Raw genomic sequence first — 18,960 nt, forward strand, 5'->3', positions numbered from 1 at the left:
GGAGTTCGAGAACAGCCTGGCCAACATGGTGAAACCTCGTCTCTTCTAAAAATAAAAAAATTAACTGGGCGTGGCGGTGCACACCTGTAGTCCCAGCTACTTGGGAGACTGAGACAGGAGAATTGCACCGAGATCCTGCCACTGCACTCCAGCCTGGGTGACAGGGCAAGACTCCGTCTCAAAAAAATAAATAAGTGGCCGGGCGCAGTGGCTCACGCCTGTAAAGCCAGCACTTTGGGAGCCAAGGCGGGCAGATCACAAGGTCAGGAGATCGAGACCATCCTGGCTAACACCGTGAAACCCCGTCTCTACTAAAAATGCAAAAAAAATTACCCGGGCATGGTGGTGGCCGGTGCCTGTAGTCCCAGCTACTCGGGAGGCTGAGGCAGGAGAATGGTGTGAACCCGAGAGGCGGAGCTTGCAGTGAGTTGAGATCGCGCCACTGTACTCCAGCCTGGGCGACAGAGCGAGACTCCATCTCAAAAATAAATAAATAAGTAAGTAAGTAAGTAAATAAATACATAAAATAAAAAACTGGCCAGGTGTGGTGGCTCACGCCTGTAATCCCAGCACTTTGAGAGGCCGAGGCGGGAGGATCACCTGAGGTCAGGAGTTTGAGACCAGCCTGGCCAACATAGTGAAATCCCATCTCTACAAAAATACAAAAATCAGCCGGGCATGGTGGTGGGCGCCTGTAGTCCCAGCTACTCGGGATGTGGGGGCACGAGAATCTCTGGAACCTGGGAGGCAGAGGCTGCAGTGAGCCAAGATCACACCACTGCACTCCAGTCTGGGAGACAGAGCGAGACTCTGTCTCCAAAAAAAAAAAAAAGAAGGTAGTCAAAGGAGTAAAAACCAAAACAAACAAACAAACAAAAGATTTTCCCCTGCTCAGAACCTTCCGGTGACTTCCTGTTGCCCTTGGGAAAAATTCTGGGCCCTTTCGCGTGGCCCCTTCGCTCTGTCATCTGTGGCCTTGTCCTTCCTTCCTTTCCTCCCTTTCTTCCTCCTGCACCTGCTCCTTTCCTGGCACAGCCGCCTTCCCTGCCCGCCCTTCCCTGCCGCAGGACCTGTGCACTTGCTGTGCCCGCTGCCTGGTTCTCTTTCCACCCAGCCGGCTCCTTATCACTCTAGTCACTTCCCTTCCCTACTTCTCCTCCTTTGCATGTCACACGATCAGAGCTGGGTATTAGTCTGTTTGTGTATCTGTTTGTCTCATCTACTAGGGCAGGGGCTTTTTCTGGAAGGGCCGGAGAATAAATATTTTTGGCTTTGTAAGCCAGAGGTCATCTCTGTCCAGACCACTCTGCTTTGCCGTTGTAGCAAGAAAGCTCCCGTGGGCGAGTGTGCCTGTGTTTCAGTAAAACTTTATTTATGGACACAAACGTGAATTCCGTGCAATTTTTACATTATAAGACATTTTTCTTCTTTTGCTTTTTTTTTCCTCCAACGACTAAAAAATGTCAAAACCATTCTTAGACTGCAGGCTGTACAAAAACAGGTGGCGGGCAGGATTGAACCTGTGGGTTGTAGTTTGCAAATACCTGGCTAGGGTGTGAGGGCCACACTACGGAAAGCTATGGAAACCATGTCAGCCTCACGACCCCTAGAATGTACGGCAGCTCCTTAGACGTGGTGGGTGTTGAGTGGACATTCCTTGTTGAGTGAATGAATTTTTTTTTTTTTTTTTGAGACAGAGTTTTGCTCTGTGGCCCAGGCTGGGGCGCAGTGGGCTGATCTCGGCTCACTGCAACCTCCACCTCCCGGATTCAAGCGATTCTCCTACTTCAGCCTCTTGAGTAGCTGGGATTACAGGTGCATGCCACCACGCTCGACTAATTTTTGTATTTTTAGTAGAGATGGGATTGCGCCATGTTGGCCAGGCTGGTCTCCAACTCCTGACCTCAGGGCATCCGCCTGTCTTGGCCTCCCAAAGTGCTGGGATTACAGGCGTGACCCACCGTGCCCAGCCTGAGTGTGAATTTGTATCTTCCTAACTTCAAAGCATTTAGAGTCATATTCTAGCCTTAAAAAAAAAATGGGGCATGGCCGGGTGCGGTGGCTCACGCCTGTAATCCCAGCACTTTGAGAGGCCGAGGCGGGTGGATCACCTGAGGTCAGGAGTTCGAGACCATCCTGACCAATATGGAGAAATCCTGTCTCTACTAAAAATACAAAATTAGTTGGGCGTGGTGGTGTATGCCTGTAATCCCAGCTTGTTGGGAGGCTGAGGCAGGAGAATCGCTTGAACCCTGGAGGCAGGGGTTGCAGTGAGCTGAGATCACGTCACTGCACTCCAGCCTGGGCGACAAGAGGGAAACTCAGTCTCAAAAAAAAAAAAAAAAAAGGTCATGGGTCATTTCAAGGATCCTTAAAACTGCAGGAATGTGAGAAAATGCGATGCTGACATCCACCCAGACAGCCTCACCATAAAGGAGGGAAAAAACAGCTACAAACAGTGTAGGTGGGGGGAACGCTTCGCTGTTTGAGACGCCAGACTCTCTTGCTCTGGGATTCACGCGGCTGCCTTTCTGTTACAGCTCACCAAGCGTCAGAAGCACGTCGAGCCGTGTACTCGGCCCAAGGAGTTCAGTGTGACCTGGCAGGAACTGAGGGTTTGTTTAAAAGGAAGACAGCATTGCACAATTTCACAAGGCTTTTGTTTTGTAAGCATCGGAACTCTCCTCGTTACCAGTGCTAGCGCCCCCGATGGGAGGGGCAGGGGAGTCGCAGATGGTGGTTTCTGCTGTCCCTGAGCACAGAAAGCCTCATGAGGGAGGTGGCTTATCCAGTGCAGAGCTCAGCTTTGTAGAGTGAGTGGACAAGTGCCCGTCGGTGGCCATCGTGCGGTCAGTAGCCGAGTGGGGGACTGTGCCCGGCCACACTTCCTTTGTCTCACTCTTCTCCTGGCTGACAGGCATTTTCTGAGCCAAGTAGGTCTTTGGCATCTTAGATTTGGGCCTGTCCCAGGAACGTTCTGACTTGTCAAGAAATCGTACCGTTAATTTACGGTCATGCTTTCTTTCCTTGATTGAAATAAACAATCTGGAGAGGCTTGCTCAGAATTTCTTGGCTTTCAAAAGTTGCCTGTCTTTTTTTCTTTTTCTTTTTCTTTTCTGTTTTTTTTTTATTTTTGCTTGCCCCCTCTCTCTCCCTGCTTCTCTGGCTCTTCCTCCCTTCCCTCTTTCTTTTCTTTCTTTATCCACCTCAGTGATCTCAGCAAACACGAGGGGATGGATGACAAGTTTGCGTCCAGCCATCTCCGCCCTGCTGGCAGGCTGTGCCTCTTTGGCGGTGGCCGAGCGCGAAGTTGCTCTGTGGCTCTGGACTGGGATCGTGTTTGTTCAATGGACAAAGGCTGAGAATCCCGAGGCCGACTGCCCAGTGGCTGCTGCACCTCAAGACCCCGAGGGCTCTCAGGTGCACAGTGACAGTCACTCACGCAGACCTGGCCCCGTTTGCTGGTAGGCGCGACCACCGTTGTGTTTTTCAGACAAGCCTGGGTGACTTGCTGTGAAAACGTCAGCTGAGGGCACGGTGGCAGGATTTCCCCCTGCATAGACCTCCCGTCAGCATTCATAGCTGGACCCAAGTGCTGGCACCTTCCGAGCCGCCGGCAGTGGCGGTGGGCCTGTTTGCGTTTTTGCGGCTGCCCTAGTCTCCAGGGAGAGAGCGTGGAGACAGACGATTTGTATGAGATTAGCCGGCCGTGGATTCAGAATCGCTCTTTGTGTGATGGGTCCCAGGGGTTCCTTTTGACCACAGAGCCAGCCTGAAACTACCCACGGGTGCTGTGGACCCCTTGATCATGGCGGGATGGAAATGGGCTGTGCCCTCAGCCGGGACTCAGGACTGCAGCATGTCTGGGCAGCAGCCTGGAAGCTGGCCAGCCTCGGCGCCCTTGGGGACAGCCCTTGACACTCTGGCTCGGTGCCCTGAGTGAGGGGGCGCCACCCTGGGCTCCCTGGGATGCGAGCAGGACCCAAGCCAGGCTGCTGGACCGGGACAGTCGCGTCATGTTGCTGTTGTCCCCTTCCTGCAGCATCTCCATACTCTCCTAAAATCCCATCTGTCAGACAGTGTTGGCTGTAGGCAGAGCGGGCCTCCTGTCTTGCAGTCGGGCCGCGTGGATCTGATTGTCTTGCTCAGGAGAGAGAGAAGATTGCCGTCCCTAGCATGCACTTGAGTCAAGCCTCTGGAATTTCAACTCCTGCTCCCTGCTCTATTCCAACTGCTTCCCCCAGGAAGGGGGGACGAGGCGGAGGAAGTCGTTCTCTTGACACCCCTAGAACATAAGGCATCTTGGCCAGGCACAGTGGCTCACGCCTGTCATCCCAGCACTTTGGGAGGCTGAGGAGGGTGGATCACCTGGGGTCAGGAGTTCAAGACCAGCCTGGCCAACGTGGTGAAACCCCATCTCTACTAAAAATGCAAAACTTAGCCGGGCGCGGTGGCACGTGCCTGTAATCCCAGCTACTCGGGAGGCTGAGGGAGGAGAATCGCTTGAACCTGGGAGGTGGAGGTTGCAGTGAGCTGAGATCACGCCACTGCACTCCAGCCTGCACAATGGAGTGAGACTCTGTCTCAAAAAAAAAAAAAAAAAAAAAAAAAAAAAAAGAACATAAGGCATCTCATGTTACTGTCTGTCTGGGCTGGAATTGGTGGAAGCCACAGAATTTTTTTGGCCCCTCTAGCCACGGGTGTCCTGCGTACCCCAAAGGCAGAGCAGAGCCTGCTTCTCAGCTAGAGCCTGAAGGGCAGCTGCCGTTCATCAAAACAGCTCCTGTGCAATTCTGTGCCTGTCGCTGGCTCAGGGGCGCGGGAGGAGGGATGGGCTGCAGCGAGCGGGTGTGGTCAGGCCCAGGCTGGTGCGTGGTCACTGGGAGCTCGGGCAGCATGGCTGTCACTGTAGCCACACCCTGGGTCCCTCTGAGTGGGTTTGCATTGTCCAGCTCCGCGTGAGAGTTGTCAAGTTCATGCGTGCCTGGTCAGGGGCGCAGGGTGGCCAGATGACCAGTGTCTCCTGCCCGCAGGGCCTCTTGGTGGAAGGAGATGGAGAATAACTGCCAAGAGGGGTAGAAACCAAGCCTGGAGGCCGGATGGCTGTAACCCAGCACTGTGGGAGGCTGAGGTGGGAGGATCGGTGGAGGCCAGGAGTTCAAGACCAGCAAGGGCAACATGGCAAGACCCCATCTCTACAAAAACTAGAAAAAATTTGCCAGATGTGGTGGCTATGTCTGTAGTCCCAGCTACTCGGGAGGCTGAGGCGGGAGGATTGCTTGAGCCCAGGAGTTTGAGCCTACAGTGAGCCATGATTACACCACTGCACTCCAGCCTGGGCAACAGAGCAAGACCATGTCTCAAAAAAACCCCAAAAAACCAAGCCCAGGGAAGCACAGGGCAGTGCAGTGCGCCGGGAGGCTTCCCATAGGAACTGCTGTTTGCGCAGAGCCTTGTCCATTGTGGGAACTGTCACAGATGACTGTGAGCTTGAGAGCAGAGGAAGTAGCGAGAGGAACTTGGGGGTGTGGCCTGGGAGATCTGAGAGGGGATGGGGTCAGGGTGAAGCCCACCTGGCATGCTGGAGGCAGCTGGGCACCCAGGCTCTGGGGTGTCTCTGGAGGTGTTACCCGAACCAGTGTGATCATGGGGACATGAGGCAGCAGGCAGCCCCGTCCTCGAGGAGCTCAGAGTCTAGTTGGCAAGTCTAGAAGCCATTCCTGTCACCAGGGAGGGCCACCTCACAGTTGCCCAACTATTGGCGTCAGTGTGCTGGCCAGGTTCTGAATTTTCTAGGACAGCCTCCCTTAGAAATGATCCTGCCATTTTAAAAAATATATATTTTTATGGAGCTATCATTCACATACTATGAAATTCATCTTCTTAAAGTATACAATTCAGGCTGGGCACAGCGGCTCATGCCTGCAATCCTAGCACTTTGGGAGGCTGAGGTGGGCAGATCACTTGAGGTCAGGAGTTTGAGACCAGCCTGGGCAAAATGGTGAAACCCCATCTCTACTAACAATACAAAAGAATTAGCCAGGCATAGTGGTGCACGCCTGTAGTCCCAGCTACTTGGGAGGCTGGGGCATGAGAATCGCTTGAACCCAGGAGGCGGAGGCTGCAGTGAGCTGAGATCATGCCACTGCACTCCAGCCTGGGTGACAGAGCAAGACCTTTTCTCAAAAAAAAAAAGATACAATTTAGTGGTTTTTAGTACATTGACACAGTTGTGCAACCGTCACCACTATCAAATGTTAGAACCTTTCTATTATTACACAAAGGCACTCTGCCTCCACCAGTGGTCACTATCCATCCCCTCCCCCATCTGCTGGTACCCACACATCTCTTTCCTGTCTCTGGATTGGCCTGTCCTGAACATTTCATAGAGATGGAGTCACACACTGTGTGGCCTGTTGTGTCTGGCTTCTCTCAGTGGGCGTGATATTCTCAAGGTGTATCCACGCATGGCATGTGTCAGAGCCTTGTCCCTTTTCTTTCTTTTTTTTTTTTTTTTTTTTGAGATGGAGTCTTACTCTGCCACCCAGGCTGGAGTGCAGTGGCATGATCTCAGCTCACCTCAACCTCCGCCTCCTGGGTTCAAGTGATTCTCCTGCCTCAGCCTCCTGAGTAGCTGGGATTACAGGCACCTGCCACCACACCCGGCTAATTTTTGTATTTTTAGTAGAGATGGGGTTTCACCATGTTACATGGCCAGGCTGGTCTCGAACTCCTGGCCTCAAGTCATCTGCCTGCCTCGGCCTCCCAAAGTGCTGGGATGACAGGCGTGAGCCACCGCGCCCGGCCCACTTTGTCTCTTTACCTGGCTGCATCCTATTCCCCTGTGCGGGGGGTGTCCTGTTTTGTTTTCCATTCATCTCAGTGGGCATTTAAGTTGTTCTCATTTTTTCAGCCCCATCCTCTCCCCAGTCTGTGGCAGAGCTCAGGGATTCCTGTGCTGCACCATGCAGAATACAGGCCGAGATGGCCCCGGGGCAGACACAGCATAGAAACCATTTGTGGGGCTGGGGTGGGCGGGGTCAGCTTGGCGGATGCTGGGCTGCGGCTAGGCTTTGAGGTGCAGTGGCCCGGCGGGCCTGCAGGGGTGCAGAGGTACCCTGTGAGGCCACAGGGTCTAGGCTCCAGGTCATTAGTGGCGAGTCCGCGCCACGGGCCTCTTCTCTCAGCCTGAGCTGGCGTGCCTCAGCCAGTGGGGCCCTGGCAGGGACCTCTCTGTGCAGCCACAGGGCCCCTGTGTCTCCGCTCCATGGGGCAGCGTGGCCCCAGCTGACCACAGCTCTGACTTGCCCTTTGCTGTGTCCTGTAAGGTCACCCCTGGTGAGCAGGACCCCTGAGTCCACCACACCAGGGCCCGACGGCTGTCCTGTCCCCCTCGTCCTGTTTTTGGTGTCACCCCGCTGTCTGGTTAGCTGTGCCGGCCTCCCTGAGGGGCTTGTGAGAAGATGCCAGGGCCTTTCTTCCCCAGAGCTGCTCCCGCGAATCCAGCCTGGGGTTGGAGAGCACGCTGCTCCCTGGGTCACTTCCCTTTCCTGGTCCGGGGCCTGGTCCCAGCCCTGACAGGGTTGTGAGCCTTAGGAGGTGGCCATCAGGTTCTAAATGTGCCCCTGGGGCCCAGCAGCCTCCACCTGGACGTCCCCCCAGGAGGTTAAAGGGGTGAGTGGGAGCCCCCCCCACCACGCCGGGCCCCTTGGGAGTGCAGGTGGGTTCTCCAGGGGAGCAGGTGACACTGCCAGGCACCGGCGGTGCTGTACAGTCAGCCCAGTGCCAAGCCCCACCTCTTCCCACCTGCTCTGCAGTGCTCTCCCTGTGGGGACAGTGATGTGCCTGGGGACTGTCACCTGCTCTCCCCTGACAGAGGATGTGGGTTACCTGGGGTGCCCCATCAGTACCCCAGGGGCTGCTGATGAACATGGGAAGACCCCATGGCAGGGGGCGGTCACGTAACTAAACACTACCAAGTGTCATGTGGTGAAGGTGGACCCCTGCCTCACACCATGGCCAGAAGCCAACCCCACATGTAGCAGAGATGAGAACATGTTACTAAAACGATTACAAAACCTCTAGAAGAGCCAGGTGCAGTGGCTCATGCCTGTCATCCCAGCACTTTGGGAGGCTGAGGTGGGCAGATCACCTGAGGTCAGGAGTTTGAGACCAGCCTGGCCAACATGGCAAAACCCCGTCTCTACTAAAAAATACACAAAATTAGCCTGGTGTGTTGGTGCAGGCCTGTAATCCCAGCTACTTGGAGGCTGAGGCAGGAGAATCGCTTGAACCTGGGAGATGGAGGCTGCAGTGAGCCAAGATTGCACCACTGTACTCCAGCCTGGGCAGCACAGTGAGATTCTGTCTCCAAAAAAAAAAAAAGCCAGACGCAGTGGCACATGCCTGTAATCCCAGCTACTCAGGAGGCTGAGGTATAAGAATCTCTTGAACCTGAGAGGCGGAGGTTGCAGTGAGCCAAGATCGCACCACTGCGCTCCAGCCTGGGTGACAAGAGCAAGACTCCGTCTCAAAAAAAAAAAAAAAAAAAGCCTCTAGAAGAAAACCTGGATGTATATGTAAAATGTTGTATTTCCTTTTTTTAAAAAAATTTAAAATTATTTTTATTTCTATGTTTTTAATGGCTTGTCTGTATAACCAAAAGTGATGTTCTCTCTCTCTCTCTCTCTCTTTCTCTCTTTCTTTTTTTGTGGCGGAGTCTCACTGTGTCAACCAGGCTGGAGTGCAGTGGCGAGATCTCGGCTCACTGCAACCTCCACCTCCCGGGTTCAAGCGATTCTCCTGTCTCAGCCTCCTGAGTAGCTGGGACTACAGGCGCGTGCCACCACACCCAGCTAATTTTTGTATTTTTAGTAGAGACAGAGTTTCACTGTGTTGGCCAGGCTGGTCTCAAACTCCTGACCTCGTGATCTGCCTGCCTTGGCCTCTGAAAATGCTGGGATGACAGGTGTGAGTCACTGCACCTGGCCTAAAAGTGATGTATGTTTTAAGGCAGCGCTGTCCAGTGAGGATGCAGAACAAGCCCGTGTGTCTGAATTTTCTGGTAGCTGAGTTAAAAGGTGAAGAGAAATGGGGGAAATTAATTATTACAGTGTATTGTATTGAACCCAGTATACCCCCAGTTTTATCATTTCAGCATGTAATCATCATCTTCAAAACTGTTGGTGAGATGTTTCACACTGCTTTTTCTTTTCTTTTTTTTTTTTTTTTGGGTGCTGTCTTTGACATTCATTGTGTATTTCCCCTGAGAGCTGGCCCTACGTGGTTGATCATTTGGGGAGGGCCCTGGCCCCGGATGCACTGAGCGTGATGCCAGCCTGGTGCTATAGATGGGGTCCTGGTGCTTAGTGGACCAGGGCCCACGCTCCTTCCTCCCACCCTCCCAATCCTGCCCCCGCCTATCCCAGGCAGGACTTATGGCTCTGATGGTGTCTGGCTGGAGAGATGAGACACACCTGACATTCACCAGCAATGGCAGGACACGCTGCGACAGGTGCGGCTGAAGAAGAGCTAGGCTGTCTGGCGGTGGTCCTGGCCTATCTTCCCAGTGGGCTCTCGCCCACAGTCTCTCGCCTTTGCCAGGGAGCACTGAACCGTGGACTGGTCCTGGGGGCCAAGGGGTCCTGGCGGCCCAGCCTGGGCAGCGCCTCTGGCATCGCAGCTGGTGGGGAGGCGCAGGGCTGGTGGGGCTTAGGAGGCGCTTGGCACTGAGGAGGTGTTTCCGGGAAGAGAATGGCAGGAAGTTGGAATGCTTCTTTGGCTGTAGGAAAGCCCAGAAGAGAGACTTGTGGATCAGCACCGCCCAGGAATAACATCCTATAGCCACAGGCGGCTTCAAAGGGCTTGAGCTATCAGGGCAGGATTGCGGGAGGATTCGCAGCAGGGAGGATGGACACCCGGAGACCTGCTACCCATGCACGTAGCCTGCTGGGCTCAGATCCACCTCTCCTGGGTCTGTGTCTTTATTTCCAAAGTGGGGGTGGCTCTGCAGGTCCCGCTTCAAGGCTGGGTGAGGTTAACTGAATTACCACGCGAAAAGCCCTTGGTGAAGTAGTTCTCACCCCAGGGGCAATTCTGTCTCTTAAGGGACACCTGGCCACAGCTGGGGACATTTGTGATGGTCAGGATTTAGGAGTGCTCCTGGCGTGGGGTGGGTGGAGGGCAAGGACACTGCTCAGCACCCTGCAGTGCCCCGGGCGGCCTCATCCCAGGGAAGGCTCCAGGCCAGCATCCACCGAGCGGAGGCTGAGGCCCCAATCCAGAGTGGCGCTGGCCAGGTTGGGCCCCGGGAGGTCACAGGAATGATTTTTCTCTGGGCTTGTTTCTGCTCTTGACTGTGAATAGAGGTGCTGCACTAGAAGTTTCTAAAATCTTTTTCCATTCCAAGACAGCTTAGGGTTTATGCTGCTCTTCGTGTTTGTGCTGGAAAGGAAGTTAAGGAGCCGTGGAAGTGATCATAAAGCAACTTGAAAATAATAGTTTTTGCGGCCTCTTTATTATAATGGGGCAGCCAGGTGGGTTGGCCGGGGTTTTATGGGCCAGGAAGCAGGCGTGGGGGTTTCTGGGGGAAGCTGGACCCGAGGCAGCGTTGACCCCAAGACCAGGACTCCGCGTCTCTCCTGTTCCGGCCTGTTCCGTACGCCTCGTCAGGTTTTCTGCTCCGGTGAACTTGGAGTGTGTTGGGGACTGACAGATCCAGAGAACATGCCCCTCTGCTGCATGATGCCGCTGGGGCCCTCGGGAGGGCTTGGGGTGTGTCTGTGGGTCTTGCAAACACTCTCCTCTTGGTGAGAAGGATCTGGTTGCATTTTGTGCCCTTGGGCTGTCCCCTGGCTCGGACAGAGGTGTCCCTGCTGTAACCCCCACTTCGCAGGGTACCAGATGCCACTGCCCAGGAGTTACTAATGTACCTGGGGGTCTGGCACCTGCTCCGTGAAACCCGAGGTCTCCCTGTACTAATTAATTTGGCCTTTAGCCAAAGGGAGGGCTGCAGCCTTCGGGATCTGCTGGGTCACAGTGGGTGTTACCCTAACAAGTTTCCTAGAGGGATGTTCATTAGAAAAATAATTTATTTTATGGTATAAAAATTAGCAATGACAGGCTGGGCACGGTGGCTCCCGCCTGTAATCCTAGCACTTTGGGAGGCCAAGGCGGGCAGATCACCTTGAGGTCAGGAGTTTGAGACCAGCCTGGCCAACATGGTGAAACCCCTTCTCTACTAAAAATCCAAAAATTAGCCCAGCATGGTGGTGCACGCCCGCAGTCCCAGCTACTCGGGAGGCTGAGGCAGGAGAATCTCTTGAGCCTGTGAAGTGGAGGTTGCAGTGAGCCGAGATCGCGCCATTGCGCTCCAGCCTGGGCAACAGAGCGAGACTCCGTCTCTTAAAAAAAAAAATCAGCAATGACAGTGAAGTGGAAACAAAACAATACAAGCTGCCGTCATCTCCAGTGAGCTTCCGAGGTCTCTGCTCCATCCATGTGGATGTTTGGGAGGGGCCCTCCGTGGGCTCCAGGCGGCTGGTTTAGAGGTGGTAGAATGTTCTAGCTCTGTGAGGCTGGGATTCCCAAGTGGAGACCTGTGATGCTGCTGGGTGACAGGCAGAGGATCCTGCTGTGCAGGCTGGGGCTGCCATGGGAGGCTTGGAGCCCGAGGGTGGTGAGGATGGAATTAAGGGATCTGGCCCCGCGTGCTGTGCCGGGTGAGAGGCGGGTGTGAGCATGGCAGGAGGCTTTGGGGGCCGAATGTGCAGTGGAAGCCTGGATGGTGAGCGGATGAGCTGGTGCTGGAACCCAGACCCGCCTTCACTGCCCCCAGCGTTGGGCCAGGACCGCTCATCCTGTGGGCGGATGGTTTTGCTCTGAGCCTCAGCACCGGTTCCAGGAGCGCAGCCTGGGAGCGCGGATTGGGACTGTCTGTCTCTGGCCAAGGCTGTGTGTGTCTCAGGAAGCCTCCCCGGCGCCCAGCCCTCCACCTCTGTGTGTTCTGCACCGGCCGTCTCCCGGTTTTTCCCTCGCTGTCTGGGCCTGAAACAGCCCAGAAGAGAAATCGGATCTCTTCTCAGCCTGAGCTTCTCTTTTAGCCTGAGCTGAAAGAGATCATCTTGGGAAGGAGCTCCCCAGCCCGGCTTGGATTGGTCCCCTCTCTGGTGCCCCGGGGGAGTAGTGATGGATTCAGGACTTGGTCCTGGTCTGACCTGCCGTGGGGGCTGTGATGGGGTCCTGATGTGCCCCGTGTGCCATGGCGCTCGCCAAGGGCCAGCATGTCTGCGGCCTCACAGGGGCTTCACGAGCCACATTCGGGGCAGCGCTTGGTTTGGAGTCTAGAGCCAGAGCCTGGCGTGGGACCCGAGCTCGTGAACTCTGTCAGTGCCACTGACTTGGGGCAGTGTCTCCGTGTGCCTCCCTGTGGGGCGATGGCGGAGTAAACGGGTGATGGCCACTGAGCGCTGGCCGTGGGGACTCTTGGTCCTGGCTGCCAAGTAGAAGCTTCAGGGGTGCTCTTCACAGTCAGCTGACTCTGCTGTCCCTGATAGCAGAAGACAGCGAAGGCACCTGCCCCCTGCCATGGCAGGTCGGCGGGCACAGAGGAGGGCTCGGGAGGCTGTGTCCTCCAGCGTCTCCATGTTTACTGTGCCAGGCCAGGTGCTGAGGGGCCGGCGAGGAAGACGTGAGGACTGGAGAGAGCCTGGATTAGGGCCCTCGAGGGGCGGCGCTGCTTTAGCCGGGGGAACAGGGAGGGCCTCTCCCAGCAGGTGACATTCAGTCAGAGACCTCTGAGCGACTCACACCTGCCCACCTTTGCAGGATTTGGGACAAGAGTGCTCCAAAGAAGTGCAGGCAGCACGTGCGGAGGCCCCAAGGCGGAACGAGGCGCAGCTCACTGAGCTGGCAGGAGCAGAGAGGACTGCAGGGGCACAGAGGCCGGAGCAGCAGTGCCTGCTGCCTAGTCAGCCGTGAGGGCAAAGGCTGGAGGCACTGCTGTCAGAGGTTTATGCCTTTTTTTATTTTTATTTTATTTTATTTTTTTTTTTGTGAGACGGAGTCTTGCTCTGTCGCCTAGGCTGGAGCGTAGTGGCACAATCTCTCGGCTCACTGCAACCTCTGCCTACTGGGTTCAAGCGATTCTCCTGCCTCAGCCTCCTGAGTAGCTGGGATCACAGGCGCCCGCCACTACGCCTGGCTAATTTTTATATTTTTAGTAGAGATGGGGTTTCGCCATGTTGCCCAGTCTGGTCTCAAACTCCTGACCTCAGGTGATCTGCTCTCCTCGGCCTTGTAAGAGTTAAAGAAAGAGGAAAGAAACACAAAATGCAGCTGGCAGTTAAAGGCAAGTTTTCTTTAGTTAAAACCTGAGAGGCGCTCTTGGCCGATTGCGGTCAGGAGCGCTTTCTCTTATAGACTAAGAGTATATATTGGTTTTAGGGTGAAGGGGCTTATCACAAGCTTGGAACGTTTCTGTGTGTGGAGAAGTTTATGGCAGGGCTGGAATCTGTCTGGGAGGAGGGGAGGTTATCTTGGGGCAGACATCTTCCCGGCCGGAGGGGGGTTATCTCGGGGCTGGCATGTCTCTGGTTGGGGAGGAGTTTGCGATGTTTCTGGCTGGAGATGCTATTTGTGGTTTATGGTCATGCTGATCTTAGCTGTTAGGCTGATACCCTTTGGATTTAGCGGTCTTTTATTAAGGTGAACTTTTAGAATGAGGGGCTTGTCCGGGATGGCAATGCTTCTGCTGTCAGGCCTCCCAAAGTGCTGGGATGATGGGCGTGAGCCACTGCGCCCGGCCAGTATATGTGTTTTAAAGACCTCTCTGGTGGCTGTCAGGAGTGAAAGCAGGGGACCTGTCGGGAAACTCCAGGCGTCGCCCAGGTGATTCATGGCAATGGCTCAGGAGAAGGGGGTCTGGGCTGGGGCTGCGGCCTGGACTGGGGGTGGCTTTTGGAGGTAGACAGGATAGGCCTGGCTGGTGGGTTGAATGTGGAGTGGGGAGATCACTGCTACTCCCAGGGTGCAGCAGCTGGTTTCACGCCCCCAGCTCGGCCACTTCCTGCACAGCGATGTGGTCTTGGGCCTGAGAACGTGGGAATAACAAACTCAGTTTCTCCCAGGCTGTCAGAGCAGTCACAGATCCCTTCCAGCACACGCGAGCAAAGCGGTGCAGGGGCAGGAGCTGGGGCCCTCCGTTCAGTTCACTCCTACCTGGGGGCTGCATCGGGCAGGACAGGCTGCGGGCTCCTCCCCACGTACCTAACCCCACGGCCCATGCCAGTCACAAGCCCCAGGCTGTGTCCTGAGCTTCTGCTGGACGCGCTGGAAACCAGCCTTCTCATGAACCCTTCTTTTTTTTTCTTTTTTGAGACGGAGTCTTGTTGTGTTTCCCAGGCTGGAGTGCAGTGGTGCGATCTAGGCTCACTGCAAGCTCCGCCTCCTGGGTTCACGCCATTCTCCTGCCTCAGCCTCCGGAGTAGCTGGGACTACAGGTGCCCGCCACCACGCCCGGCTAATTTTTTGTATTTTTAGTAGAGACGGGGTTTCACCATGTTAGCCAGGATGGTCTCAATCTCCTGACCTCGTGATCCACCCGCCTCGGCTTCCCAAAGTGCTGGGATTACAGGCATGAGCCACCGTGCCCGGCCTCATGAACCCTTCTTTGAGCTTAATTTGCTAATGCACCTCTCAAAACTCAGGGGAGCTGTTACTTACGTTTACCAGCTTATTAGAAAGGATTTTACAAAGGAGGCAGATGAAGACATGTGTAGGGTGAGGGATGTGGGAAGGGGCACAGAGGGTTCCGTGCTCTCCCCGGGCTGTGACGTCTCCAGGAACCTCCACGCATTCATCTGTGGGGAAGCTTCCATCCCAGTCCTCCGGGTTTTACCTCAGCTTCCTCGCAGAGGCTTGGGTGACCTCACTGCATTGGCCTGGGTGATCAAGTCAGCCTTCAGCCACATGCCCCTCCCCTCCCGTCCAGCCTGGGTCTTTTCAGTGAGCAGCCCTATTCCCTCAGCTCCCGAGGGGCTGCCAAGCCCTTAGTCACCTCATTAGCACACTGGAGAATTCCGAGGATCTGGGGGAGTCGTAGGCCAGGAAACAGGACAAAATGTATTTCACAGTCTCACTGGGCCGGTCCCTTGCCTCCGCTTCCTTGTCTGTGATGAGAGGACGGGAGGGTGGCTGTCTGGACAGTGCTGAAGTGGTAGAGGTGAGTCGCTGCCGTGGAGGGCTTGGCAGGGTGCTCTGTGAAGGGCCCTGTGGCCTGGGGTGGAAGCCGCTTGCAGAGTGCTGGTTCTTTGCCTAAGGATGGTGGGGCAGGGGGGCCGTGTTCACACGTGCTGTTGGCTGTGTCTGCCAGTCTTCCTTTCTTTTTTCTGTTTCTGTTTCTTTTTCTTTGTTTTTTTTTGTTTGTTTGTTTGTTTTGAGACAGAGTCTTGCTCTGTCGCCCAGGCTGGAGTGCAGTGGCACGATCTTGGCTCACTGTAACCTCCGTCTCCCAGGTTCAAGCGATTCTCCTGCCTCAGCCTCCCCCAGTAGCTGGGATTACAGGCATGCACCACCACGCCCAGCTAATTTTTTTGTATTATTAGTAGAGACAGGGTTTTACCATGTTGGCCAGGCTAGTCTTGAACTCCTGACCTCAGGTGATCCGCCTGCCTCAGCCTCCCAAAGTGCTCGGATTACAGGCATGAGCCACCATGCCCAGTCTTCTTCTTCTTCTTCTTCTTTTTTTTTTGTGAGATGGAGTTTCACTTTGTTGTCCAGGCTGGAGTGCAAGGGCACGATTTTGGCTCACTGCAACCTCTGCCTTCTGGGTTCAAGCGATTCTCCTGCCTCAGCCTCCTAAGTAGCTGTGATTACAGGCATGCGCCACTGTGCCCGGCTAATTTTTGCATTTTTAGTAGAGATAGGGTTTCACCTTGTTCACCAGGCTGGTCTTGAACTCCTGACTTCAGGTGATCCACTCGCCTCGGCCTCTCCGAGTGCTGGGATTATAGGCGTGAGCCACGGTGTCTGACTCAGTCTTCCTTTTCATGTCATCCCTTGTTAATTTCCTTTAGAAACAGTTTGGGCCAGGTGCAGTGGGTGGCTTATGCCTGTCATCCAAGCGCTTTGGGGGGCTGAGGTGGGAGGATCACTTGAGGCCAGGAGTTCAAGACCAGGCTGGGCAACATAATGAGACCCAGTCTCTACAAAAAAATTAAAAGCTTAGCTGAGCATGGAGGTGGCACCTGTAATCCCAGCTACTTGGGAGGCTGAGGCAGAAGGATCGCTTGAACCCAGGAGGTTGAGGCTGCAGTGAGCCACGATTGCACCAGTGTGCTCCAGCCTGGGCAAAAGAGTGAGACCCTGTCCCCGCCCCACAAAAAGAGGGTCAGAACCTTGGTGTTAGAGCAGTTCACTTCCACCCAAAAACAGGGACTTAGAAAGGGAGACACTTGTGTGGAGCCCGAGGCAGACATGCCCTGACTTAGCAGTGCAGGTTTCTGTACTGGAATGAGGGCCTGGGGCAGGTGGCCTCTGGCAGGATGCATCTGTTACCTGAGTCTGAAGGCAGCGTGGCGAGGAGATGGGAGGGCTGTGCCTGGGATCCTGGGGCCGTGGAGAGCTCATCTAGAGGTCATGAGTATTGGGCAAAGCTCACATGCCGTGTTTTAATACTGTCATTATGGAAGTTGGCCTGGGGGTAATCCAGTGTCTCTTTTAGATCTGTGTTGTACAAACACTGAACTAGTTCTGGTCGCCTCTCCGGCCTTTGTTTTGGGGAGAATATTCGATGAGATGGCCCGTAATTCTAACACTGTGCATTTTGAAGGATATTTATAAACCCGGATGGATAAGGCCCTTCTTAGTGCTATTCTTGTGTTGGTTCCCTTTATTATTTTTTTTAAAAAACTTTATTATGGGCCGGGTATGATGGCTCACGCCTATAATCCCAGCACTTTGGGAGTCTGAGGTGGGCGGACCACCTGAGATCAGGAGTTCGAGACCAGCCTGACCAATATGGTGAAACCTCGTCTTTACTAAAAATACAAAAATTAGCTGGGCGTGATGGCGGGCGCCTGTAGTCCCAGCTACTAGGGAGGGGACAGGAGAATTGCTTGAACCCAGGAGGCGGAGGATGCAGTGAGCTGAGATTGTGCCGCTGCACTCCTGCCTGGGCGACAGAGTGAGACTCGGTCTCAAAAAATAGTAAAGCAAAAAATAAAAATAAAAACACTGTTATGGAGAATTTGACTACACAGAAAGGTAGACAACATGGAATAACGAGCCCCCCAGGCCCCTCACCCAGCCCCAAAACCATCAACCCATGGCAACCCCCCCTGCCCTACCCCCATCTGTGGTGAAATAGCCCTCATATTATTTTTGTTAACTTTTAATTTTTAAAGAATTACAGAGGCTGGGTGTGGTGGCTCACACCTGTCATCCAGGCACTTTGGGAGGCAGAGGTGGGAGGATCACTTGAGTCCAGTAGTTCGAGACCAGCCTGGGCAACACAGTGAGACCCTGTCGCTACAAAAGCAAAAATAAGAATGAATTATAGACTGCCAAGGTGTTGCAAAAATAATAAAGAGATTTCCCTAGGCTTCACCCTGCTGTCTCCAGTGGTAACATTTTACATAACTTTAGTGTCCCGTTAAAACTAGGAAATTGACACAGGACACTGTGGCTTCAGACCTTCCTCAGGCGTCCTCAGTGTTAGCACTGGCTCATTCTTTTGGTAGAGTCTTTGCGACATTCTGTTACCTGCACAGATTCCAGGAACCACCATTGCAATCAAGATACAGAACTGTTCTGTCAACACAAAGGAACGCTCTGCTTCTCCCTTCTGTCACCCCCAGGCCCTGGCGACGGCTGAGGATCTCTGCATCTCTGTAACCTTGCCCTTTTGAGAATGTTATGTAGATGGAATCACAGCGTATTTAACCTCTTGGGATTGGGTTTTTTCGCTTGCAATCTGTCGAAGTTGTTGTGTGTATCAGTAGTTACTTTCTTTTATTACTCAGTAGTTCTCCATACGGGTGTTGTTTTCTCATTCTGCTTATTTCTGTGAGACGGGTGGCAGTGGTAAGGTCCCATCTTTCATTCCCGATTTTAGCAATTTGAGTTCTCCAGAGATGGAGGACAAGATCCAAGGTTGCCAGGGCCTGGGGGCGACAGAGTGGAAGCAGAGTGAGTTCCTTTGTGTTGACGGAACAGCCCTGTATCTGATTGCAGTGGCGGTTCCAGGAATCTGTGCAGATAACAAAATGTCACGAAGACATTTACCTTCGACAGTTTTACTGGTCTTTTCAAGGGACCGACTTTTGGTTTCATTGGCTGTCTCTATTTTGTTTATTTTTGCTCGTTATCTTTGTTACGTACTGTGCTCCATCTGCCTTAGTTTCCGTGTGCTCTTCTTTTTCCAGTGTCTTAAGGGAGATGCTTAAATTAATATTTGAGATCTTCCTCTTTTTAAAAACTGTATAGGCAATTATAAATTTCCCTCTAAGTACTGCTTTAGCTGCAACCTGTACTTTTTTTTTTTCCTTGCGATAGGATCTTGCTCTGTTGCCCAGACTGGAGTGCAGTGGTGCAGTCACAAATCACTGCAGCCTTGACCTCCCGAGCTCAAGCAATCCTCCCACCTCAGCCCACCAAGTAGCTGGGACCAGAGGCATGTGCTACTATCCCTGGCTAATTTAAAAAATAATTTTGTGGAGAGGAGGTCTCACTATATTTCCCCAGGCTGGTCTCGTACTCCTGGGTTCAAGCATTCCTCTCACCTTGGCCTCCCAAAGTGCTGGGATTACAGGCATGAGCCACTGTGTCTGGCCATCCTATAAGTTTTACTTTGTTGTGAGTTCATTTTCATTCACCTCAAAATATTTTCTAATATTTTCTTCCTGTTCAACCCTGTGATTATTTAGGAGTATGTTGGTTAATTTCCATGTACTTGTGAATCCC

General features: G+C 53.7%; 1 protein-coding gene across 13 annotated transcripts in view, besides 5 other annotated features; it reads left to right on the forward strand.

Annotated features, from left to right (window-relative positions):
- Window positions 1–18,960, forward strand: part of KDM4B (lysine demethylase 4B) — a 184,486-nt gene that overhangs the window by 4,808 nt on the left and 160,718 nt on the right. Inside the window, exon 1 of one of the 13 annotated variants that reach the window (NM_001411148.1) lies at window positions 14,645–15,220. The exons of the other annotated variants lie outside the window; for them this stretch is intronic. The gene's annotated coding sequence lies outside the window, so the exon portion shown is untranslated. Of the gene's footprint in view, window positions 1–14,644; window positions 15,221–18,960 lie in introns of those variants that run through there. 13 annotated transcript variants of the gene reach the window in all.
- Window positions 10,014–10,940: an enhancer, noted in NCBI's record as "H3K4me1 hESC enhancer chr19:4983945-4984871 (GRCh37/hg19 assembly coordinates)". NCBI's record gives its function as "activates a minimal SCP1, AML or CMV promoter by ChIP-STARR-seq in naive H9 embryonic stem cells {active_cell/tissue: H9 hESC(naive)}" and the evidence as "EXISTENCE:reporter gene assay evidence [ECO:0000049][PMID:30033119]".
- Window positions 14,621–15,126: an enhancer, noted in NCBI's record as "H3K27ac-H3K4me1 hESC enhancer chr19:4988552-4989057 (GRCh37/hg19 assembly coordinates)". NCBI's record gives its function as "activates a minimal SCP1, AML or CMV promoter by ChIP-STARR-seq in primed H9 embryonic stem cells {active_cell/tissue: H9 hESC(primed)}" and the evidence as "EXISTENCE:reporter gene assay evidence [ECO:0000049][PMID:30033119]".
- Window positions 15,127–15,631: an enhancer, noted in NCBI's record as "H3K27ac-H3K4me1 hESC enhancer chr19:4989058-4989562 (GRCh37/hg19 assembly coordinates)". NCBI's record gives its function as "activates a minimal SCP1, AML or CMV promoter by ChIP-STARR-seq in naive H9 embryonic stem cells {active_cell/tissue: H9 hESC(naive)}" and the evidence as "EXISTENCE:reporter gene assay evidence [ECO:0000049][PMID:30033119]".
- Window positions 15,848–16,349: an enhancer, noted in NCBI's record as "H3K4me1 hESC enhancer chr19:4989779-4990280 (GRCh37/hg19 assembly coordinates)". NCBI's record gives its function as "activates a minimal SCP1, AML or CMV promoter by ChIP-STARR-seq in naive and primed H9 embryonic stem cells {active_cell/tissue: H9 hESC(naive and primed)}" and the evidence as "EXISTENCE:reporter gene assay evidence [ECO:0000049][PMID:30033119]".
- Window positions 16,350–16,849: an enhancer, noted in NCBI's record as "H3K4me1 hESC enhancer chr19:4990281-4990780 (GRCh37/hg19 assembly coordinates)". NCBI's record gives its function as "activates a minimal SCP1, AML or CMV promoter by ChIP-STARR-seq in naive and primed H9 embryonic stem cells {active_cell/tissue: H9 hESC(naive and primed)}" and the evidence as "EXISTENCE:reporter gene assay evidence [ECO:0000049][PMID:30033119]".

The sequence above is a fragment of the Homo sapiens genome, chromosome 19 (assembly GCF_000001405.40).
Source record: "Homo sapiens chromosome 19, GRCh38.p14 Primary Assembly".
Classification (NCBI taxonomy): Eukaryota; Metazoa; Chordata; class Mammalia; order Primates; family Hominidae; genus Homo; species Homo sapiens.